This window comes from Homo sapiens, chromosome 3 (genome assembly GCF_000001405.40).
Source record: "Homo sapiens chromosome 3, GRCh38.p14 Primary Assembly".
In the NCBI taxonomy this organism is placed as follows: domain Eukaryota; kingdom Metazoa; phylum Chordata; class Mammalia; order Primates; family Hominidae; genus Homo; species Homo sapiens.
The window spans coordinates 57391050-57416867 of NC_000003.12; the positions used below are offsets into that span (position 1 = coordinate 57391050).

Sequence of the window (25818 nt, forward strand, 5' to 3'; positions counted from 1 at the left end):
TCCTTTTCCAAGTACTATTCTCTAATAATGGTTCATTTTATGTGTCAGTCAACTTGACTGGGCTATGAGGTTCCCAGATATTTGGTCAAACATGATTCTGGGTGTTTCTGTGAGGGTGTTTTTACATGCATTCAACATTTAAATCATTATACACTGAGTAAAGCAGAGTGCCCTCCCTAATGTCAGTGGGCTGCATCCAATTGTCCTTGTCCAGTTTTGTTCAATCCAATGGAACAAAAATGCTGACCCTCCCCCAAATTCCTCCTGTATGATTGCCTTCAAGCTAAGACATTATTTTTTTTCCTCCCTTCAGCCTTGGACTGAATTGGCTCTTTCTGGATCCTGAGCCTGCCGGCCTTCAGACTGGAACTACATCACTGGTTTTCCTGGGCTTTCACCTGCCAACTGCAGATCTTGGGACTTTTTAGGCTTCATAATCATATGAGCCAATTCCTCATAATAAATTTCTTTACATACAAATTTCCTATTGATTCCTAATACACTCCCTCTCTATGTAACTAACTCATCTTCATGACTCAGAAATTCACTGCCTTCGTATATATACCCTTTGCACATCAACATTATGGCTCTCTTATATAATCATGATTACTGACTGCTTTTTCTGTCTTCCAGTCTACAGTGTAAGCTCCTTGTGAGGATCATGTAGTCTTATCAGTCTCTGGTGCTGAACATTATGCCTGTCATTACAGTAAGTGATCAAGAAACACTTGCTGAATGTATATTAATAAAGTTTTTCAAATATTTCAGTAAAATTCCAAAAGAGTTAGTTGCCTCCCCCTCCAACCAAGAAAAATTACAAACCTGAAACCAGTCAATGGTACAGCAATTGATGAGGGATGGGAACTGTCTCAAGCGATTTCGAAAGGCATCTCCAATGGGGCTAAAGGCCACCACGACATGAAGATTATCTTTGCAGCGATTCACAAAGAAAGCAAACAGAGCTAAGGGACTGAGTTCATCATGTTTATTGCCAGCCTGAGCTACTGGGCGAACACCCTAGGGAATATCAGAAAATAAAAACCTTGTAAATAAAAATAGATGAGCTGGTAATGAGATTGGTGGATATTAGAATATGAAGAAGTTTTATTGCACCCTGTAAATATCTGTAAAATTTTGGTTTTATATCAATAGAATGGCTTTGACATAGTTTGTACTTAGAAAACCTCTTCCAACTCCAAAATTCTATAATTTAAAAACAAGTTATCTGCCAAGAATTTACCTTAAAGATAATCACAAAATTCACCAAGATGTATAGAAATATAATTTTACATTGTTTTTAAGAGAAAAAAATGTAAACAGCTGAAGTATCAATCAGTAAGGAACTAGTTATAAATGTAAAATATCCACATATTAGCATTTTATACAACAGTTAAAAATAATAAATTGGTGTCTCATGCCTGGAATCCTAGTTTCTTGGGAGGCTGAGGTAAGAGCCCAGGAGTTCGAAGCTGCAGTGAGCTATGACTGCACCACTGCACTCCAGCCTGGGCAACAGAGCAGTGAGACTTCATCTCTAGAAAAACAAAAACAAAAACAAACAACAAAAAAACACACACACAGTGTATTTTGTGCTACGGGAAGATAAGCAGGATAAAATAACTAAAAAAAAAGTTTTGCGACAGTATATAGAATATGATCCTGTTTAAAAAATAAAGATGTATATAAAATAGCAAATATAAAACAGAAATAGTGAAGCAATGGAAAAGTTTAGTAGCAAAGTGATGGGAAGAAAAGATAGATAATAGCTAAAGAAGCAGGAAAGCCTAGCAAAGCTTAGGAAATTCCATTCCCCAAAGGTGACTATTCCTTGGATGGGCATATGGAGGATGCATTTCTCCTATAAATCAGGAGAGTACCACTAATTTACAGCCTTGGTCACATCTCTGACATATCCCAGATAAAAGCAAAGAACATGGGTTTTTGTTGTTGTTGTTGTTGTTTTGTCCTCTTTTATCCCTTCACGCTCCATACCATGAACTGGTAATGCACCATTTACTGAGAGCTGTGTAAGTGCCTGACACTACATAAGTGCTTTATTTTGTTTGATTCTCAAACCTCACAACAACCCCATGTAGGAAGAACTCTTATCTGTGCTGCCATTTCATGGAAGAGAAAAGCAGAGTACTTGAAAGTGTGAGTCCTTTTCACTCCAGATGTTATGGCTGGAGGTTGGGAATTAAATATCCAGGTGTGAGTGATATATTTTGTGGGTAAAAGTGATTATGGTAATGAGAAAGTGTGACATTACTTTCATCTTAGAAATGAGGTCTAAAGTGGCCGGGCGAGGTGGCTCACGCCTGTAATCCCAGCACTTTGGGGGGCCGAGGCAGGCGGATCACGAGATCAGAAGATTGAGACCATCGTGGCTAACACGGTGAAACCTCGTCTCTACTGAAAATACAAAAATTAGCTGGGCCTGGTGGCAGGCGCCTGTGGTTCCAGCTACTTGGGAGGCTGAGGCAGGAGAATGGCGTGAACCCGGGAGGCGGAGGTTGCAGTGAGGCGAGACCACATCACTGCACTCCAGCCTGGGTGACAGAGCAAGACTCTGTCTCAAAAAAAAAAAAAAAAAAAAAAAAAAGAAAGAAAGAAAAAGAAAAAGAAAAAGAAATGAGGGTTAAAGTAGGTGATAGTAGCAGACACGTCACCATTGTATTTTTTGTCAATTAAATCACAAACAAGACTTTCAGATGTATCAAACCCATAAGATAGTTTTATTAAAACTTTAAAAAAATTTACTAACCAGTGTAAACCACAAAGACTAATAAAGTAGCATTAAAATCATGTTTTCTTACATCAATGTAACCTTAAGAGATGATTTAAAAATCTCCAATCACTCATAAAACATGCTAAATAACATTAAACAGGTGAAACAAACTGCCATTATGATGAAGATAGGAGTTATAAAAATTATGCCTCATAACTATGGTAGAAGCAATTTAAAATTCACCAAACAATGATGTATTAAACTAATATACTTTAAATTTTTAATTACCCCCAAACTCATATGTACAAACTATATTTATCCTGAAGAGCAGAGAAACAGTTTCAAGAAATAAAGTTTTTGTGCTAGAAGCAGCACTTCCCCAAAAGCATTTACCTCCATCACTTCCTGCTTCTCATCTGCTGCAAAAATGTTAGGCACTTCTCCTGTATTGAGCACACTGTCGATATCCTCTAGGAAAGCTTCCTCTTTAATCTGAGTGTCCGTGATAAGAAAGACGGTCTTCTGGCCCTTCATGCCCACATTCCTTAACAGACCCTTAAAATAAAAATGGACTTGTAAGCAGAATATGGTAGACATCTGTTGGTTTTGATTTCCCTCACTTTCCCTTTCCTTTGATAACAACACTTTGATTTTTAGGGCAGTACCTCTCCCCACTTCTACTGGGGCTGTCAACTGGGACCTCCACTGCCTCCGTCCCCTGGGTGGGAGATCCAAACTGGTCAGAGTTTCCCCAAAACCCTAGACATAATCACTGATTCAGAGGATGGCATATGATTTAAGCAGGGCCCAATCATAGTCTTACTTCAGGGACTGAGATAGACTTGAAACAGAGAGAATCCTGGCTGTTCTGAGATGGAATATATAAAGGCCAGTAACCTAAATTACTTGGAGCTAACTGTTTGCCTCATGGTATGAGCCTGCTGGAGAAGGAAGCCAAATGGAGGAGAGTTGTGTCAGGAGACAGAAAGAGTAATTACTAAGGAAATAATTTAAGACCCCAAATTCAGCTATGTCAAAAGCCTATCTACCTCTAGACGCTTCAGTGTAGACAGGCTGGGGTTTTTATGCAGGGGTCAACTGCAACCCAAATTCCTAATATAAGATATGGGCTCAGTAGTGTGCTGAAGCTGACTTGTATAGGCTTGTTAGAACCGATTGTTAAAATTTCAGGAACTTGTCAGTAGTTTGTAAAACATAGCCAGGATTTAAAAATTGAATTATATAAACTTGCAATTATATAAAAATATAATTATATTTAAAAGGGAGGTAAATGCGTAAATATCATCATCTCCTATTTTATTATGTTACTATTATCTATGCTCTGGAAAGTTTTTCAAGTTATTGTATCAATATAGTAAAATACAATGTCATGATGTTCCATGCATATCTCTTTTCAGTTCTATTCTCAGTGACAGCGTTGGGAGCTTCAAATCAGCCATGGTGGGAGTTTTTACATCATGGAAATTGGAAAATCTACCATCAGGCTCTCTCTCACCCCCGGTCCTGGAAAGCTGGTTGTTAAACATTTGTCAGCATACAAACTGGCTGTAGTTCACAGTGAAAATAGCATTACAACTTCTCTAAGTTATTTTTAAAAATAACCTTCTATATTGTAAAACTATGTATTTTAAATCATTAAATATTAACTAATATTTTCACTCCATAAAATAAATGGTGGATTTTTATATTGTACACAAAAACAACTATGTCCTTTTCCCATTAAAGCCATCTTCCAATATGAAGCCTGTTTTGTTCTTAGAAATAAGTTTCTGTCATCAAAACTAGAGAGTCTAGTTTTTAAAGTAGTATTGTATCAAATCATGTCAGGTTTATAATTATTAATATTATATCAAAATAAATCTTAGGCTGGGTGCAGTGGCTCACCCCTATAATCTGAGCACTTTGAGAGGGTGAGGCAGGAGGATTTCTTGAGCCCAGGAGTTTGAGAGCAGCCTGGACAACATAATGAGAGCCTGTCTCTAAAAAAATAAAAAAAATAAAAATTAGCTGGGCATGGTGGTACATGTCTGTAGTCTCACAGGCAGCTACTAGGGAGGGTGAGGTGGGAGGATTGCTTGAGCCTGGGAGGTTGAGGCTGCAGTGAACTATGATCATGCCACTGTATTCCAGCTGGGGTGACAGAGTGAGACATCTCACTCTGTCTTATTTTAAATTAAAAATTTAAAAATTTTAATTTAGGCTGGGCGCGGTGGCTCAGGCCTGTAATCCCAGCAGTTTGGGAGACTGAGGCAGGTGGATCACCTGAGGTTGGGAGTTCGAGACCAGCCTGACCAACATGGAGAAACCCTATCTCTACGAAAAATACAAAATAACCTGGGCATGGTGGCACATGCCTGTAATCCCAGCTACTTGGGAGGCTGAGGCAGGAGAATCGCTTGAACCTGGGAGGCAGAGGTTGCAGTGAGCCAGGATTGTGTCATTGCCCTTTAGCCTAGGCAACAAGGGCAAGACTGCATCTCAAAAAAAAAAACAAAAAAAAAAAAAAAAAAAAGAGAACCATAAACATTTTAATTTAAAATAAAATTTACAATACAATATAAACAAACATATTTAACTTATTGTCATGAGCATCATCGTGATTTTTTTTTTGTTTTTTGAGACAGAGTCTTGCTCTGTTGACTGGGCTGGAGTACAGTGGCATGATCTTGGCTCACTGCAACTTCTGCCTCCCAGGTTCTAGCGATTCTCCTGCCTCAGCCTCCCAAGTATCTGAGATTACAGGTGCTTTCCACTACAAGTGATTCTTCTGCCTCAGCCTCCCAAGTATCTGAGATTACAGGTGCATTCCACTACAAGTGATTCTCCTGCCTCAGCCTCCCAAGTATCTGAGATTACAGGTGCATTCCACTACAAGTGATTCTCCTGCCTCAGGCTCCTGAGTAGCTGCGATTACAGGTCTGTTCTACCACACTTGGCTAATTTTTGTATTTTTAGGAGAGACAGAGTTTCATCATGTTGGCCAGGCTGGTCTCAGACCTCTGACCTCAGGTGATCCGAGACCAACCTGGCCAGCATGGTGAAATCCCGTCTCTACTAAAAATACAGGAAAAAAAGAATTAGCCAGGTATGGTGACGGGCACCTATAATTCCAGCTACTAGGGAGGTTGAGGCAGTAGAATCACTTGAACTCGGCAGGTGGAGGTTGCAGTGAGTGGAGATCGTGCCACTGCACTCCAGCCTGGGTGACATAGTGAGAGTCCATCTCAAAAAAATAGATATTAATTATATGTCAGGAATATTATGAAAATCCTTACATACATTATATAATTTAACCACAATAATCTTTGAAATAGGTGGTATTACCCAAATTTTACAAATGAAAAATCTAGAAAGTGACCATCAGCAAGATAATGGGCTAGGAAGCTCTAGACCCTTGTTCTCCCCTGAAGACATGTATTAGCAATATACAGAACACAATTACCTTTGTAAGGACTTTAGAAACTAGTTAAGTGGCTGCAGCACCCAGAAAAGAGCATGAACAAGAGAAGGGACTGTTCCCAAAAGGGTAAGACAGTACCTCAAATTTTTCTCACTCTAGCTCCTCCCCCAGCTGGGCACAGTTTGGGGAGATCTAGAGAATACCATCCAAATCATGGCTCCTTCCTCAGGACAGAAGAAATATAGTTGAACTTGAGCCCAGAATACTGGCTTGTGTGGGGGCTGTTTCACCTGCCTTCAGGTGCTAACAGGAACAATGGCCAATTTTGGACACCAGGTTGGAGGCCACTGAAACATAGGTGAGTTCCCTGGTGGGTTAGAGCAGCAGAAGCTGCAGTTCTACTGGCAGGCACCAGGGAGAGCAAGAGATCAAGGGCAGAGGAATACAACGGAATCAGCAACTGAAAGCTCCTGAGAAGAAACAGGAAATTAAGACAGTCAAAAGCACTCATACATGCAACAATAAAAGCACACATACAACCTCAAAGAAGACACGTCCCCAGAAAATGTCTGAAAGGTCCCAGAACCTCTAGCTAGGTTGATTGGTGAAGATCTTCCCTGCATGAGGCCAGTCATAATGATTGGGAGGGGTGGCTGTATTTCAAATGGTCAGCTCTCAAAAAGATCACAAGGGATGCAAAGAATTAAGGAAACGTGGCCCAGTCAAAGAAACAAAATAAAGCTCCAGAAACCAACCATAAGGAAATGCAGATCTATGAACTGACTAGCAAAAAATTTAAAATAACTACCTTAAAGATACTCAATGAGCTGAAAGGAACCCAGAGCTAAATCAGGAAAACAATGCATGAACAAAATGAGAATTAACAAAGATATAGAAACTATAAAATATAAATTCTGGACCCAAAACATAAAACTGAACTAAAAAATTATCTACAGGGGTTCAACATTAGACTTGATTGGGCAGAATCAAGAGTCAACCAACTTGAAAACAAGTCGTTGGAAATCACCGGGTTAATGGAGCAAAAACAAAACAAAAACAATAAACGAAGGTGGAGCAAGCCTAAGGGATTTATGGTACACCATCAAGTGGACCAATATATGCATTATGGAAATCCCAGAATATGAGAGAGAGAAAGAGAGGACAGAGAGCTTTTTCAAGAAATAATGACTGAAAATTTCTCAAATCTCAGGAAAGAAGTGGATATAAAAATTCCATTTTATGGAAGATCAATGAATTCCAACTAGGATGAAGTCATAGAAATCCACATTAAGAAACAATATAATCAAACTGTCAAAAGTCAGATACAAAGAGAAAATCCTGAAAGCAGCCAGAGAAAAGCAACTTGTCATCTACAAGGGAATTACCTTAAGATTAGCAGTGAATTTCTCAGCACAAATTTTACAGACCAGAAGGAAGTAAGGTGACATATTCTAATTGCAGAAAGATAAAAACCTGTCAACCAAGGACAATGTATCTGGTACAGCTGCCTTACAAAAATGAAGGTGAAATTAAAACCTTTCCAGATGAACAAACACCGAGGGAGTCCTTAGTACTATATCTGCCTGACAAGATATGCTAAAGGGAATCCTTCAAGTTGAAACAAAAGAACCTAGAATGTAACATGAAGCCATACAAAAGTATAAAGTTCTCCAGTCAAAGTAAACATGTGGAGAAATAGAGAATCCTGTATTATTGTAATTTTGGTGCATAAATCTACTTTTAATTCTAAAAAACAAAAACATGCCTTATAAATGTATGTTAATTAGTACATAATATATAAAGATACAATTTGTGACATCCAGAACAAAAAATGGGGGAGGGGTGGAGCTATAAAGGGGTAACATTTTTGTATGCAACTGAAGTTAGGTTGTTAGCAGTTTAAAATAATTTGCTATAACTTTAGGTTGTTTTATGTAGTAGTAATGGTTAACTACAAAGAAAACATAGAATATAAACAAAAGGAAATGAGAAGGGAATAAAGAATGCCCCTACAAATAAAAATCATCATAACATAAAAGGCGGCAATAAAAGAAGAAATGAGGAAAAAAAGAAGCTACAAGACACACAGAAAACAAATATCAAAATGGCAATAATAAATCCTTCCCTATCAGTAATTACATTAAATTTAATGGATTAAATTCCTCAATCAAAAGACATAGAGTGGCCAAATGGATTAAAAAAAAGATCCATTAATATGCTGCCTACAAGAGATTCATTTTAGATCCAAGGAAATATGTAAGCTAAAGAATGGAAAAAGATATACCAGCCAAATGGTAACTAAGAGAGAGCAGGGATAGCTATACTAATATCAGACAAAAATAGACTTTAAGTCAAAAACAACCACAAGAAAGGATATTACATAATGATAAAAGGGTCAATTTACCAGGAAGATATAACAATTACAGTTGACCACTGAACAACACAGGTTTGAACTATGTGAGTCCACTTATATGTAGATTTTCCTCTGCTTCTGCCACCCCTGAGACAGCAAGACCAACTCACTCCTCTTCGTCCTCTTCATCCTCAGCCTACCCAACATGAAGATCGTGAGGATGAAGACCTTTGTGATGATCCACATCCACTTAATGAATAGTCAATATATGTTTCTTCCTTAGGATTTTTTAAGTAACATTTTCTTTTATCTGGCGTACTTTATTATAAGAATACAGTTTAATACATATAACATACAAAATACATGTTAATCAAATGTTTATGTTACCAGTAAGGCTTCTGGTCAACACTAGGCTATTAGTAGTTATGTTTTGGGGGAGTCAAAAGTTATATGTGGGCTAAGCACAGTGGCTCAAGCCTGTATTCCCAGATCTCTGGGAGGCCAAGGCAGGAGGATTGCTTGAGCTTAGGGGTTCAAGACCAGACTGGCCAAATGGCGAAACCCCATCTCTACAAAAAATACAAAAATTAGCTAAGCATGGTGGTGTGCACCTGTAATCCCAGCTACTCAGGAGGCTGAGGCATGAGAATCGCTTGATCTCAGGAGGTGGAGGTTGCAGTGAGCTGATATCGTGCCACTGCACTCCAGCCTGGGGCAGAGCGAGACTCTATCTAAAAAAAAAAATTATATGTGAATTTTCATCTGTGTTGGGGGTTGGTGTTGTTTAAGGGTCAACTGTATAAATATTTATGCACCAAACCACAGATATCCTAAATATATGAAGCAAACTTTGGCAGAAGTGAAAGAAGAATTGTACAGCAACACAATACAGTAGTCCCCCCTTATCCATGGGGGATACATTCCAAGACCCCCAGTGGATGCCTGAAACAACAGATAGTACTGAATCCTACATATGCTATTTTTTCCATACATAACTATGATTAGATTAATTAATAAATTAACAGCCAGACATTAACAACAAATAATAAAGAGAACAATTATTACAACATACTGTAATAAAAGTTATGTGAATGTGGTCCCTTTCACTCTCAAAATATCTTATTGTACTGTGCTTATCTCTTTTTGGACCACAGTTGACTGTGGGTAACTAAAACTGCAATAAGAAAAGCCACAAGTAAGGGGGGACTACCATAATAGTAAGAGACTTGAATACCCCACTTTCAATAATGGATAGAACACCTGACAGAAGATCAATAAGGAAATAGAGGACTTGAACATTGTAGACCAACTGATCTAACAGATATTTACCAAACACTCCATCCAGCAACAGTAAAACATATATTATTCTCAAGTGCACATGAAACATTCTCTAGGATAGACCACATTAGGCCACAAAACAAGTCTTAACAAATTTTAAAAGACTGAAATCATAGAAAGTATCTTTCCTGATCACAATGGTACAAAACTAGAAATCAATGCCAGAAGGAAAAATTTAAAAATTCACAATATATGAAAATTAAACTGTTAATTTAATTGTTAAACAACCAGTAAGTCAAAGAAGAAATCACAAGGGAAATTAGAAAATATCTTGAGAAAATTAAAACAAAAACAAACAAACCAAAACTTGAGGGATGCAGCAAAAGTATTGCTGAGAGGGAAGTTTGTAGCTGTAAATACATATATTGAAAAAGAAGAGGCCAGACGCGGTGGCTGACATCTGTAATCCTAGCAGTTGGGGAGGTTGAGGCAAGTGGATTGCCTGAGCTCAGGAATTCGAGACCAGCCTGGGCAACACGGTGAAACCCATCTCTACTAAAATACAAAAAAAAAAAAAAGAAAAAATTATCCGGGCATGGCAGTGTGCACCTGCAATCCCAGGTACTTGGGAGGCTGAGACAGGAGAATCGCTTGAACCTGGGAGGCGAAGATTGCAGTGAGCCGAGATTGCACCACTGCACTCCAGCCTGGGTGACAGAGTGAGACTCCATCTCAAAAAAAAAAAAAAAAAAAGAAGAAGAAGAAGAAGAAAGACATAAAATCAACAACCTAACTAGACACCTCAAGGAACTAGAAAAAGAAGACTAAACCAAACCCAAAGCTAGCAAGGAAGCTAGGAAGGAAATAATAAAGATTAGAGTGGAGATGAATGAAATAGAGAATAGAAGATCAATACAAAAAAAAAGAGAGAGAGAAGACTCAAATAACAAAAATCAGAAATGAAAATAGTAGCACACTCTGGTAGCACAACCAATGCCACAGAAATACAAAGAATTATAGGAGAATGATATGAACAATTGTATGCCAATAAATTGGATAACCTAGCAGAAATGGATAAGTCCCTAGAAACTAAAGCACCGATCGATTTATTAATATGCTAAAAATAACATAGCTAACAAATCATGCAAAGCAGGAACTAATACTGTATCTGTCTAATTTCAAAGTCCACGTTCTTGCTACTATGAAGTAGTAAATGAAGTATGCTGATTTCTAAATTTGTAGTTAATTTGGTAGACAATGCATCAAAAGTTTTCCTCTAAAGTGTAAGCAGAAAAAGAAACAATGTAAGTGTAATTTTCCTTTCATGTCTATGTAGATAGATTTCTTTGGTATGAGCTTGGATTCTACCATTTCCGCCTAGAAGTAGCAAAGAAAAATCCATTTCTCTATGCTAAATTTTAGGTTGTAGAAATTGTTTGTGAAAGGTCAGTGAAAGTGAAAGAAGTCCAGCAATTTCTCCCTTTTTTTTTTCCACTTTGTATCATCTCTCTGTTGGGGCTACAGACCCCTAGGCATATAAGGACGAAGCCCCAAGTATGCACTCCACTATCCTGTTGGTCACCGGGACAGCAATAAAGCTCTAAAGAAACTATTAAGATTACTACTAAGACAACATTAATGCCATCAACATCATCATCAGGTTCATGGTTAAATCTGCTAGAAACCATTTATTTATCTGAAATAAGTCCTCTCTGAACTGGAATAAATATATAGTCAGTGGCACAAGCCAGGTACAGAAAGATAAACATTACATGTTCTCACTTATATGTAGGAGCCAAAAAAGTTGACCTCATGGAGGTAGAGAGTAGAAAGACACTTATCAGAGGCCAGAAAGGAGAGGCAGACAGAGGAGGATAAAGAGAAGCAGCTCAATGGGTACGAACATGCAGTTAGAAGAAGTTCCAGTGTTCAATAGTACAATAGCGCAACTATATTTAACAATGTATTGCATATTTCAAGATAGAAGATTTGCAACATTCCCAACACAAAAAGATCGATGTTCTACGTGATAGATATCCTAAATGTGCTGACTCCATAGTTATTCATTTTATGCATGTATCAAAATATCACATGTACCTCATAAATATGTACAAATATTATACATCAATATTTTTTTAAAGCAGCAGCCATGGTAATAGTGTAGTGGATAAGACTTGAGTTAGAAAGCCTTGCTCTGTTATGTGTCACATGTCACTCAGCTTCGGTAAAACACAGAGACAACCCACCTGCTGCATTGCATTGCTGTGCCTATAGAATGAGATCATGTAGGTAAAAGCGGTAAAAGCTAGGTAAAGCACTCAGGACAGAACTCAACACACACAGTAGATGCTCTATGGACAGTATTAGCATCATCATCATCACTGGAGTTCAGTACACAGCTACACAGGCTGGTTCTCTCTTTACGAGTAAAAGAATATACTGTTTTCATTTTAGATACTAGGCTTCTTCATAATTTTACCTTCATATCCTCTCTCCATTCATTCATACCATAGCTCTTAGAAATTTCTGGTTGGAAAATATGCATTTTTGCCATGGATGTAGCCAGACGAGTTAAAGATTGACGACCACTTCCTCCAAGACCAACAAGCAAAGCATTTCCACCAGATTGCTTTAGAACTCGACATATTCTTGATAAATGTTCCAAAACATACCTACCACAAAAGAAAAATTTTATTAATGCATTACAATATAAATGTAAATGTATAGTTACATGTAACTATTGTTTCACTTTCCTAGAAGAATGTGACTCTGCTGTCCCATATGTTACTATCCCAATTTTAAAGAGTTTACTATCAAAAAGTGTGATTTTTCAAAAGCAGTTACAACTGGATCATTTGATGTAGGGGAAAACTAATTAAAAGTTCAAATTCAGGAAATTTGATATACAAGTTATACAAATAAAATGAAATATTAACTGCTAATACTGGCAGTATATTATCACTTTTATTAAATATGTTTCTTCAGTCTCTTAAGATTTCTATGTGAGAAAAGATCATTACCTATAAAATAACAAATTCAGAAAAGGCACTTAGCTTCACTGGTAATTAGGTTAATTAAAATTAAAATGATAATGAGATACCATTTCACTCTCCTTAGACTAGAAAAACTTACAGTATCTGCCAGTCCTAAGCATCAGCAAAGGTGAAGAATAATGGAAGCTCTCAAAAATAATAATCACTTTAAAAGATGTTTTGGCAAAATTTAGTAAAGTTGAAGATGCTTATATACTATGACATGATAATCCCACTTATAGGAAAATAGCCTAGAGAAATTCTCACACATGTACCCAAGGAGACACGGATGTGAATTTTCAAAGCCTTTTTTATAATAGCAAAAACTAGAAGTCACCTAAAATTTGTCTCAGAAGAATGACTGCATTGTGGTACAATTATATAATAGAATGCAATATAGTGGTAAATATTCATTTTTCTGTGACTCTCACAATATGGAATAAACCAACTAGCAGAAGATTATATCCAGTATTATACCATTTATATGCAGTTTTAAAATATGCAAAATAAGACTACATACATATTTACGAATACATACATGTATAGTAAAAGTTCTAAGAAACAAAAGTTTCGGCCAGGTGTGGTGGCTCACATCTGTAATCCCAGCACTTTGGGAGGCCAAGGCAGGCGGATCACTTGAGGTCAGGAGTTCGAGACCAGCCTGGCCAGTATGGTGAAACCCCATCTCTACTAAAAATACAAAAAAAAATTAGCCAGGCATGCCGGCGCATGCCTGTACTCCCAGCTACCTGGGAGGCTGAGGCAGGAGAATGGCTTGAACCCGGGAGGTGGAGGTTGCAGCGAGCTGAGATAGTGCCATTGCACTCCAATCTGGGCAACAGAGCAAGACTCAGTCTCAAAAAAAAGAAAAAGAAAAAAGAAACACAAGTTTCTTTTCACTACTACTCGTATGACACAGGATGCAGTGAGACAGGGTGACTATAACAGGGAATTTCAAATAAATTACTAATATTTTATGTTTTATGCTGGATAATGGGTACAAAGTCATTCACTGTATTTTTCTTTACACCTTTTGGTACATTTCAAACATTTCATAATAACATTTTACAGATAGCAATTTCAAGCATCAACACCATATATAGGTACCTAAAAATGACAAGATTCATTCTTGTTTTGTGTGTTTGATTATACTCATCTAAGCACTGGTCCACAACATCACTAAAATGATGAATATTTGGAATTTCAATATAAACTCTATCATCTCCTTCAAGGTCAGGATTCATATAATCACCAAACATGAGATTTCTTAAGTCTTCTTCAGTTACCTATAGAAAGGAAATCAACAAATTTTAAAACTTAAAACATTTAAAAATAAATTTAAGAAAACAAAATTTTTGTTTCATCCATGTTATAAAGTAATTAAGTTTTTAAACATTAGGGTAGTAAAAAATGCACTTATAAAATTAATACCTGAAATTATATCCTTAGGATATAAAAAGAAAAGTAAGATTTATATGTTTTGTTGTTGTTAGGCTAGAGAAGTCATTCTGGGCGACTCCCATTGAGTAGTTACTAAGTGATGGTCATCATGTTAAGCACTTTATATCTATTATATCATTTATTCCCTATCACATAAGGTGTTATTCTTTAAATAACTTCTATGTTACATACTTTCCTATGAAGATAAATCTTCTCAAAACAAACACCTATTTACAAGGAATGCTAAAAGAATATGTTCATTAAGAAATGATTTTTAAAAATATAACTTAATTGTAACAATTCATATATGGTACTGCTTTAACTCAATATGTTCTTAATCGCCATACTCACTGGTGCATTTTGTTTCCTCAAATGTGAAAAGATACTGTGAAATGATTCTTTAAAATGGTCCTTTATAACAGTTTTAGTTAACTGGAACAGCCATCTTCGATCATCATCATTAATGAGGCGATCATAAAACACTCGGAGAACCTCATGCACAAACAGACGGATCATAGTGTGTTTGTTCGCCACGGCGTCTCTTTCAATGAGTAAACAGCCCCGGATGACGCGTGAAAAATCACGCAAGTTGAAAGTATAATGGGATTTTGTGGGAGTGGGTAAAAGATTTTCCACAGATTGTTTATATATCTGAATATGAAAAAAGCAACAAAGCAAAAATAAAATGCTTATAATCAGTAAAGTCATGTAACCAGTGGAATGTTATACAAAATATTTTATTTACTCTGTCAGATTATATGGGCTTGGGCTGGGCGCGGTGGCTCACATCTGTAATCGCAGCACTTTTGGAGGCTGAGGTGGGCAGATCACCTAAGGTCAGGAGTTCGAGACAAGCCTGGCCAACATGGCAAAACCCTGTCTCTACTAAAAATACAAAAATTAGCCAGGTGTCATGGCACGTGCCTGTAATCCCAGCTACGCAGGAGGCTGAGGCAGGAGAATGGCTTGAACCCGGGAGGTGGAGGTAGACATTGCAAAGAGCCAAGATCACGCCATTGCACTCCAGCCTGGGCAACGAAGTGAGATTCTGCCTCAAAAAAAAAAAAAAAGAAAAAAAAAGATTATACTGGCTTGGAAAATTGCATAGTACTAAGCTTAGCATGGCATATATGTTTATTTTGGCTTATAGCACTCAACCAGGCATTATTAACTTGAGGGAACTTAATATCCGATTCCATCCAAGCCCAGCCCATCCAAGTGGAAACCTGTCTCTACTTTTATTTCCCAGTTATTATGGTTACACCATTTAAAGGTGAATAATCTGAGGTTAAATAGTGAAAAACAAAATCTTTCAGAGAAAGGGAAATCAGATAACTCATGCTGAATCATTCCAAATGAAGAGGAAGATGAAATAATTTTCTTGTTACTACAATCAACTTCAAAATAAATCAATTTGTTCTCTCTCTTCCCTTCTATCTCTTATTCCCTCACCCCCCTTCTTCTTTATATCTAAATTGGCTTTAAGGAAATGAAGTATATTTTTACTATGTACTGAATTCACCAAATGAAGTTTAACGTTCTCTTAAAGGAAGGTGAATTAAGCCTTTTATAATATAGTCAAAAAAGGAAAACAAAAAAACTTTTTTTTTATTTTTGAGATGGAGTCTCATTCTGTCGCCCCGCTGGAGTGCAGTGGTGAGGTTTTGGCTCACTGCAACCTCCACCTCCTGGATTCAAGTGATTCTCCTGCCTCAGCCTCCCGAGTAGCTGGGACTACAGGTGCACACCACCACGCCCAGCTAATTTTTGTATTTTTAGTAGAGACAGGGTTTCACCATGTTGGCCAGGATGGTCTCAATCTCTTGACCTTGTGATCCGCCCACCTTGGCCTCCCAAAGTGCTAGGATTACAGGTGTGAGTCACTGCGCCCAGCCAACGTTTTTTATTTGTATGTGTTCTGTGATTCATCTCCCTGCTCCAACCTCCACACATGGTAGGTCTATAATGCTTCAAAGACAGAAAAAAAAAAAAAAAAGCCGGGGGTAGGGAGGTGGCAGGGATGCTTTCTGTATCCCCTTCTACCTGACCAACACCTCTGTATTTTCCAGGACATGCCTGAAATAGAAATATTATGTTTTATAAATAGAAGCACTTTTCTGTATCAGAACAAATGTACTATCTCTTTGCTCATAGTAGTTTCTTTACTTGAACAGCACACACTTTCCACTGAAACAAGGGGAGAATTTTAGAAGATTGATGTTCTTGGAAATGGATGGAAGGATTCTAGGGAGTTTTCTGCTTCCTGTTGCAGTGATCACAAAATGAAACTTGCTTTATGAAGCTTCTAGAAAGTGTAGTTTGGTAAGATCATGACTGACGTGCCTTTAAATATATTGTTTCCCATTTACCATTAGAGATGAGGCTGGCTCTAGTCTTTGAACAGAGGCAAATAACACACCCGAAATAAGTTAAAAACTGTTCTTTGGCCATATGGGGAGTCTTGTTGTCTGTTTCTACCCTTGTATTTCTCTTTTATAATTATTTTTTCATTGCTACTTATAAATTATGTGGTCTGACTAAAAGTAATGTATTCATAAGCTGCTTAAATTTCTTTAAGACAAGCATGCAAAATGGGAGGGAAGATAGAGAGAAAAAACGACAAGTACCAGAGTAGGAACCTAATAGAAAAATACCTGTGATGTGGCAGATACTAGTTTTAGATGTTTTCCTTATAACAACCTTGTGAAATAGGTGTTTTATTCCATTTTAGTCATTAAAAAAACAGCCTCTGGAATGTCAAATTACTTGCTCAAAATCATATAGCTAGGAAATAGCAGTCAAGGCTCAACCCAAGTTGGATTCCCTCATTTCAAATCCTGTGATCTTCCTATTCTCTGGTCTTCTAAACAGTTTCTCTGACACCAAAGACCAAAGCAGATAGCATCAAAAAAATAAAATAAGCGCCAAATGAGGGAAATATGTAATACTAAAACATTTACATTGCATTATTGACTGACCTCCATAGTCCCATTGACTATCTGGTTCCCAATTACAAAGTACTCTGGAGGAAATTCATGAGTTCTAAGGTAGAATGCTACAATAGATGAGAAGATTCGGACCATAGTTTCATCACTAAAAGAATTAATACTGCAGATGTTGAAATGTCGAATACAACGGGGAGTAACTGGATTTCTTCCACCACCTGGAGGGCCCATTGCAGCAATCAGCTCTATGTCCACCAGCGTGATTTTACTTGTGTCCTTAAGGTCGTACCTTAGAAAGCACACACAAAAAATTTAGATTATCTGTTATAAAGACATTAAGATGGGATGAAATATAGATCTCCCAAGAAATTTAATCAGATTTTAGCTTCTCTAAAAGGAATAACTTCAGATAACACTTTGAGTAGGAGAGAAATTTTTTTTAAAGCAGAATTTGGTTTCTCCCCTCAGTGACTGATTCTGCTACCCAGATTTTGGATATCTGGAATGACCCTTCCCTCTTACTTTTCCCTCTCTTTCCTCCTACTCTTCCTTACAGTTTGACTCTCCATTTCTCCTTTCTTATTCCAAATCTAGAAGCATGGATGAGTGATCAATCCTATTTGTAGCTGTTTATAGATAAGGTGACTATATATCTCATTTTACCTAGGACAATTCTGGCTTGTGCTTGTTGTACCGAAGTAATTATTAATAACACTCCCCTTTTACTCCAGAAATGTCACAGTTTGAACACTAAGTTATATACTAAAACTGGTTATAGCAATGTCCTGATTTTTTCTCATCTCAAACTGTATCTTCAGAGTGGATAAAGATGTCTAAATAGGATCTATACATTTTGTTATAGAAAGGGACCCATTAGGGAAAAATGAAATTTCAAAGAAGTTTTAATCAGAAATAAATAGGAAATGACATAATTTAGCTGGAACCACTCAGAGTAAAAGGTTGCTATTGTCAATAAGCCATCAAGTCTCTAATACTGAAGTTACTGCACACACAGACATATACATACAGAGGCTGGGGTAGGAGTCTATCTAGCCAGTCCTTAGACTAAAAGCATGCTAGAAAGTATGAAAATATGGTTTTTGGTAACAACCCTAATAATCAACAATAGAAGACCAGCTAAGTAAATTACGGTGACATCCACATAATATTAAAGCCAATAAAACGAATGAGTAGACAAATATGCACTGATATGGCTATTTGAGATAAATATATAAGTGTAAAATAATTTACAAAATATTACATGTAATATGAGCCTATTTTTACACATAAAAATAGACTTATATAGAAAAAAATCACTGAGGAATAGTGATTATCTCCTGATAATCACTAACTCAGGAGAGTGACTATCTTCTGAGATAATCGCAGTGATTATCTCAACAATGGTTATCTCCTGAAAGCAGAATTCCTAGGGCCTATAGTAATAACAAAAATGCAACTGTAAAATATGACTTAGCTTTGAAATTCGTCTACCCTTGTCTTGAGATAAAAATCATGGCATACTGAGGAATAGAAAAGTACATTTAAGAGGAGGAAAGGAAGAATTATTCATCCTAATTAAAAGGTGCTATATCTTACATGTGAGAAACTAACCATATCACCATAAATTGGTGTGGGGAGAATGGAAGGGTTATCCATGAGATTGCTGTCAAATACAAGCCATCTCAAAGATATGGTAGGTAGTTCCAAGCAGCCACAGAAAACATACAGTTAAAAACATGGTAGAAAAATAGGGTGCTGATTATGGTTACTTAGGTTGGGCACTACCCACAAATTCTTGACTTGGGGGAATGGTACTTTGAAGGATGTAATCTGTAAATTATTTTCAATAATTGAAACTAATAGTTGAAAAGTGCAGGCATACCCCATTTTATTTCACTTCATTTCATTAAGCTTTGCAGATACTGTGTTTTTTTACAATCTGAAAAAGTTTTTAGAAACCTGTGTTGAGCAGGTCTATAGGCACCATTTTTCCAACAGCATTTGCTTACTTCTGGTCTCTGTGTCACATTTTGGTAATACTTGCAATATTTCAAACTTTTCCATTTTTTTTATATCTGGTATGGTGATCTGCGATCTTTGATGTTACTATTGTAATTGTTTTGGAGCACCATGAATTGACCTACATAAGAAGAAAACCTTAACTGATTAAATATTGTGTGTGTTCTGACTGTTCCACTGACTGGCTGTTCCCCATCTCTCTCCCTCTTCTCAGACCTTCCTATTCCTTGAGATAAACAGTATGGAAGTTAGGCCAATTAATAATCCTCCAGGCCGGGTGTGGTGGCTCATACCTGTAATCCCAGTGCTTTAGGAGGCCAAGGTGGTGGATCACTTGAGGTCAGAAGATCAAGACCAGCCTGGCCAACATGGCAAAACCGTCTCTACTAAAAATACAAAAATTAGCCGGGTGTGGTGGTGTGTACCTGTAGTCCCAGCTACTTGGGAGGCTAGGGCATAAGAATCACTTGAACCTGGGAGGCGGAGGTTGTAGTGAGCCAAGATCACGCCACTACACTCCAGCCTGAGTGACAGAGCAAGACTTTGTCTCAAAGGCAAAAAAAAAAGCCAAAAACGTCCTAGTAAACTAGGAATAAAGGTAACTTCCTCAACTTGGTAAGGAATATCTACAAAAACCCTACAGCTAACATCATACTTAATGGTAAGAATCTCCAAGCTTTCCCACTAACATCAGGAACAAGATAAAAATGTCCCCTCTCATGACTTCTTTTCAACATCATACTAAGGGCTAGCAATAAGATGAAAAAAAAGGTATACCGACTGGGAAGAAAGGAATGAAACTATCCTTGTTTGCAGATAACATGATGATCTATAAAGAAAATCTCAAAGAACTACAAAAAACTCCTGGAACTAATAAGCAATTATAGCAAGCTTGTAAAGAGTTACCATGTAAAATTCAATCACCTTTTTACATACCAGTAATAAACAAGTGGAATTTGAAATTAAAAGTACAACACCTGGGCCAGGCACAGTGGCTCATGCCTGTAATCCCAGCATTTTGGGAGGCCGAGGAAGGTGGATCACTTGAGGTCAGGAGTTCAAGACCAGCCTAGCCAACATGGTGAAAACCTGTCTCTACTAAAAACACAAAAATTAGTTGGGCATGGTGGCACATGCCTGTAATCCCAGCTACTTGGGAGGCTGAGGCAGGAGAATCTCTTGAACCCAGAGGCAGAGGTTGTAGTGAGCCAAGATCATGCCACTGCACTCCAGCCTGGGTGACAGAGTGAGACACTGTCTCAAAAAAAAAAAAAAAAAAAAAAAAAAAAAGAAAGAAAGAAAAGTACAACACCATTTACATTAGCACCCACCCCCAATGAAATACTTAGGGATATATCTAACAAAATATATAGAAGATCTATATGAGGAAAACTGTAAAACCCTGAAGAACTAAATCGAAGTACTAAATAAAAAGAGGTATTCCATGTTCATGGATAGGAAAACAATATTATGAAGATGACAGTCCTTCCAAACTTGACATGTAGATTCAACGCAATCCCAATCTAAATCCCAGCAAGTTATTTTTTGGATATTGAGAAACTGATTCTGAAGTTGATATGGAGAGGCCAAAGTCCCAGATTAGTCAACACTATTGAAAGAGAAAAACAAAGTCAGAGGACTGACACACCCAACTTTAAGGCTTACTATAAAACTACAGTAGTCAAGACAATCTGGTACTGGCAAAGCAGACAAATAGGTCAATGGAACAGAATAGAGAGCCCAGATATAGACCCAATAAATACAGTTAACTAATCTTTGACAAAGGAGCAAAGGCAATATTATGGAGCAAAGATAGTCTTTTCAAGGAATGCTGCTGGGCACAGTGGCTCATACCTATAATCCCAGCTACCTAGGAGGCTGAGGCAGATGGATTGCTTGAAGCTAGAATTTTGAGAACAGCCTTGACAACATAGCAAGACCCCTGTCTTTTAGCAAAAGACAAATATCGTTAAACAACTGGACATACACGTGTAAAAAATTGACCTATACACAATTTTACACCCTTTACAACAATTAACTAAAAATGGATCACAGGCCTAAATATTAAATGCAATACTATAAAACTCCTAGGAGATAGCAAAGGAGTAAACCTAGTTGAACTTGGGTATGGCAATGACTTTTTCAGACACAACACCAACAGATTGGTTGAGAAACTGGACTTCATTAAAATTAACAACTTCTGCTCTGCCAAAGACAATGTCAAGAGAATGAGAAGACAGGCCTGACTTGGAGAAAATAATTGCAAATGACACATCTGATAAAGGACTATTATCCAAAATATACAAAGAACTCTTAAAACTAAATGATAAGAAAGCAAACAACCCAATTTAAAAATGGCCAAAGACCCTAACAGACACCTCACCAAGTAAGATACAGAGAGGGCAAATAAACATATTAAAAGATGCTTCTTACCGTATGTCATCAGGGAAATGCAAATTAAAACAATGAAATACCACCACACACTCATTAGAGTGGCCAAAATCTAGAACACTGACAATACCAAATGCCAGAGAAGACGTGGAGCAACACTAACTCTCATTCATTCCTGATGGGAATGCAAAATGGTATGGTTATTTTGGAAGGTAGTTTGGTGGTTTCTTACAAAACTAAACGTATTCTTACCATATTGTTCAGCAATTGTGTTCCTTGGTATTTACTCAAAGAAGTTGACAACTTATGTCCATGTAAAACCTATGCACAAATGTTTATAGCAACTTTATTCATAATTGTTGAAAACTTGGAAGCAACCAAGATGTCCTTCAGTAGGTTAATGGATTAGTTAATTGTGGTTAACCAGACAACTGAATGTTACTCAGTGCTAAAAAGAAATGAGCTATCAAGCCATGAGAAGATATGAATGAAACTCAAATGCATATTACTAAATGAAAGAAGCTAATTTGAAAAGGCTATATACTGTATTACTCCAACTATATGACATTCTGAAAATGGTTAAACTATAGAGAGAAAAAGAAATTAATGGATCTCTTACAAAGGGGCTGAAGTTGGGGGAGGAATGAAAAGAGAACACAGAGGATCTTTACAGCAGTGAAAATTCTCTGTATGATATTATAATGATGGACACATATCATATACATTTCTCCAAACCCATAGCATGTACAACACATAAAGCAAACCCTAAAGTAAACTATGGACTTTGGGTGATTGTGATATACCAACGCAGGCTTATCATTTGTAACAAATGTGCCAATTTGGTGGGGATGTTGAGATTGAGGAGGCTATGCATGTGTCGGGGGGCAAGGAGTATACAGGAAATCTCTGTACCTTCCTCTTAATTTAAAATAGTCTTTTCGAAATATATTAGAGAGGCTTCATGTATAGGAAAATCTGAGCAACTATTCTTTTCCCTAAATATCTTGAAAAATGTATTATTTTACTTTAAAAACCTAAAATAAAAACTGAGGTATAACTTCAGCATAACTTATCGAATTAAATAGTTACCAATGTCCACAGTCAAAAAACTGTCGTAATAATTCAATAGGTGGTTGAGCTCCATACTTCTCCAATGCAGGCATATTCATATCATCTATAAAAATTATACACTTCTTTCCCATAGGTGGTCCAAAGACTCCTTTGCGTCTTTTATCCAATCTAGCCATGATAATGTTCTAAAATATGAAGGAAGAATGGTATATTTACCTATAATTGAATTAGGGATTTATCATACTTATATTAAATCAGTATCAACAAGTAAAACAACCCATTTTGCCAGAATCCATGGGATTTTTACCAGTAACAATTACTATTTGCTTAATTTATCAATGATTAACTTAACATAAAATACCATATTTAACACCAGAAAAAAAAAGTTTAAGTTTCTGTAGGGAAATCATACCAAGCAGCATTATGTGTGTGTTTTTATTTATTCATATTTAGGGTGATACTAAACTTCACAATCAACATCATTCAAACATTTGTTGAAATCCTATGCACTCACAATTGTTACACATGTATATTTATGTATTATCTTTGTATAGTATATGCATGTTTCTACAACATTTCTACAAGTGTCACCAAAATTTCTACAATATTTTCCTCACTGGATAACCAACATATTTTTATTTTTTTCTTCACTGAATAATTTTACTTTCCAACTTTTATTTTAGATTCAGGGAGTACACATGCAGGTTATATGGGTAATTGTGTGTTGTGAGGGTTTGGTGTACAGATTATTTCATCACTCAGGTAATAAGCATAGTACCCAATAGGCAGTTTTTCAATCCTCACCCTCCTCCCCCGCTCCACTCTCAAGGAGGCCCTGATTTCTGTTGTTCCCTTCTTTGTGTCCATCCGTACTCAACAATGTATCTATTAATTTTAACTTACTTAATATTTAAATGCATTAATCTTTACATTTGGCAGCTTTTTATAGCTAAAATAAATGTGGATGCTTTCTTATAGTTCTAATACTTTGGGAACTCACTTGTCCATTGGAAAAATAAACCAAAATTATTTTCATTCAAATAAAGCTCCACAGTAAAGGAGTTCTAAATTTGTAAGATTTTGAAGTTCAGTGAAGAACATAGACTTAAAACAACAGAAATGAGGCCAGGAGAGAATGGATAGGTATAAATTTGGAAATGTATGATAAAAACGGCAATTAGAAACAGTTTCATGAAATGTGTCAAGGTCAGTTTCACCTTGACACATTTGAGGGCAAAGGGTAGGATGCACTCACATGGTTCCTGTCACAGGCCCATGGTTTGAAAGGTCCAGGGAGCAGCAAATGCCCCTAATGACCATCCAGGAGGGTCTTGAGAGAACAATTCAAAGTTCTCTCATTTCTCCCTGGGTCTCCCCACCCCTGCCCCACCCTATGTGTGTGTTTGTGTGTGTGTGAGTGTGTGTGTGTCTTTTATATTCCCTTTACCAGTTAAGAAATCGTTGCTTCTTCTCAGGCTTAAAAAAAAAACAGGTGATAAAGCTCAGTAACCCACTATTAACGTAAAAATGTTCTCTGAAACTTGTATCATTAATTCCAAAAACTTGTAACTCCCCAAACATTTGAAAGTTTTAAATTCATAGATTTACACAGTTGCTTATTTAATGTACAATTTTAAACACTGAGCAAATAAGACAAAAAAATTAACGATAGACCCCCATTTCTGTCTTTAAACTAACCTGAACCTGATTGGCGCTGGTCCGTGCAGATAAGTTAATATAAAAAGGAAAGTACTGGTCCTTTTCCAAGTGATTCATTAGCTTATCCTTCACATACACAGATTTTCCTGTACCCGTTGGACCCACAAAAAGGAGTGGCCTTAATGAAAACAATGAATATATTATTCAAAATGGAAAAAAAGTCAGAATACATTTCTACTAAAGGAGGCGGTAGTTAAAAGTGTACATAAGAATCAAATCATCTTCATTAAAAACTCATTTTTACCTATAGTTATTTCATGAAAGACAGATAAAAGTAATGATTGGCATATATTTTTGCACAACATTGCAGAGACTTTATTTTGTGTCTTTTTATTTTTTATTCTTTTTTTTTTTTTTTTTGAGACAGAGTCTCACTTAGTTCCCCAGGCTGGAGGGCAGTGACGTGATCTTGGCTCACTGCAACCTCCACCTCCCAGGTTCAAGCAACCCCCCTGCCTCAGCCTCCCAAGTAGCTGGGACTACAGGCATGCACCACCACACCTGGCTAATTTTTGTATTTTTAGTAGAGACGGGTTTCACCGTGTTGGCCAGGCTGGTCTTGAACTCCTGACCTCAAGTAATCCACCTGCCTTGGCCTCCCAAAGTGCTGGGATTACAGGCATGAGCCACCATGCTTGATCTATTTTTATTTTTTGAGATAAGGTTTCACTCTGTCACTCAGTCTGGAATGAAGTGGCACAATCATAGCTCACTGCAGCCTTGAACTTCTGGGCTCAAGTGATCCTCCTGCCTCAGCTTCCCAAGTAGCTAGGACTACAGGTGGCATGCCACCACACCAGGCTAATTTTTTTACTTTTAACGTTTTAAAGAGACAGGGCCCGGCTATGTTGCCCATGCTGGTCTCAAACTCTTGGCCTCAAGTGATCCTCTTGTCCCAGCCTCCCAAAGCACTGGGATTACAGACAGGAGCCACTGGGACCAGCCTTATAGATACTTTAATAGTAATAAACTATTATTTGAATAGATGTAATATCGCTATATATAAAACACTTATGAAACAAGTAATAATATGCTTAACTTTTCAGAGCAGAAAGTCAAAGTCTGTCTCCTCAGAAAAGAGTTGTATTTGTACTTTTAGGGTACAGACATGGGGGCAGCATGTGAATAACAAGGGGATGACAATAAGACAGCTAGCTGTAGGCTGTTTCCCAGTGATCTCAATAGCCAAAGGTTTTGTGAGAGATGGAATGACAGTCAATTCTAAAGCTAACAGTTATGTATATGTATACTGTTAACAGCATTTTTAAATCAATTCAATTACAAACTGAAAATATTTGTCCAAAAGCAAACTCTAAGGAATTCCCCATTCAGTGAATGGGGAATTCAAGCAAGGTTTCCCATTCTTAAATGATCATAACTAATTTTAAGGGGAAAAGTAATCATATGAGTTTATGTTCACA

The 25818-nt window shown here is 37.1% G+C and overlaps 1 protein-coding gene across 9 annotated transcripts in view; it reads right to left on the reverse strand.

Annotated features, from left to right (window-relative positions):
* Nucleotides 1–25818, reverse strand: part of DNAH12 (dynein axonemal heavy chain 12) — a 262335-nt gene that overhangs the window by 97350 nt on the left and 139167 nt on the right. For all 9 annotated transcript variants that reach the window (XM_047447667.1, XM_011533468.2, XM_047447668.1 and 6 more), the window contains 8 exons: nucleotides 24377–24515; nucleotides 22697–22863; nucleotides 17231–17486; nucleotides 14604–14903; nucleotides 13920–14098; nucleotides 12260–12452; nucleotides 3122–3283; nucleotides 823–1017 (listed from right to left, as the gene is read on the reverse strand). In XM_047447667.1, coding sequence (XP_047303623.1) covers nucleotides 823–1017; nucleotides 3122–3283; nucleotides 12260–12452; nucleotides 13920–14098; nucleotides 14604–14903; nucleotides 17231–17486; nucleotides 22697–22863; nucleotides 24377–24515 — 1591 coding nt within the window. The remainder of the gene's footprint in view (nucleotides 1–822; nucleotides 1018–3121; nucleotides 3284–12259; nucleotides 12453–13919; nucleotides 14099–14603; nucleotides 14904–17230; nucleotides 17487–22696; nucleotides 22864–24376; nucleotides 24516–25818) is intronic.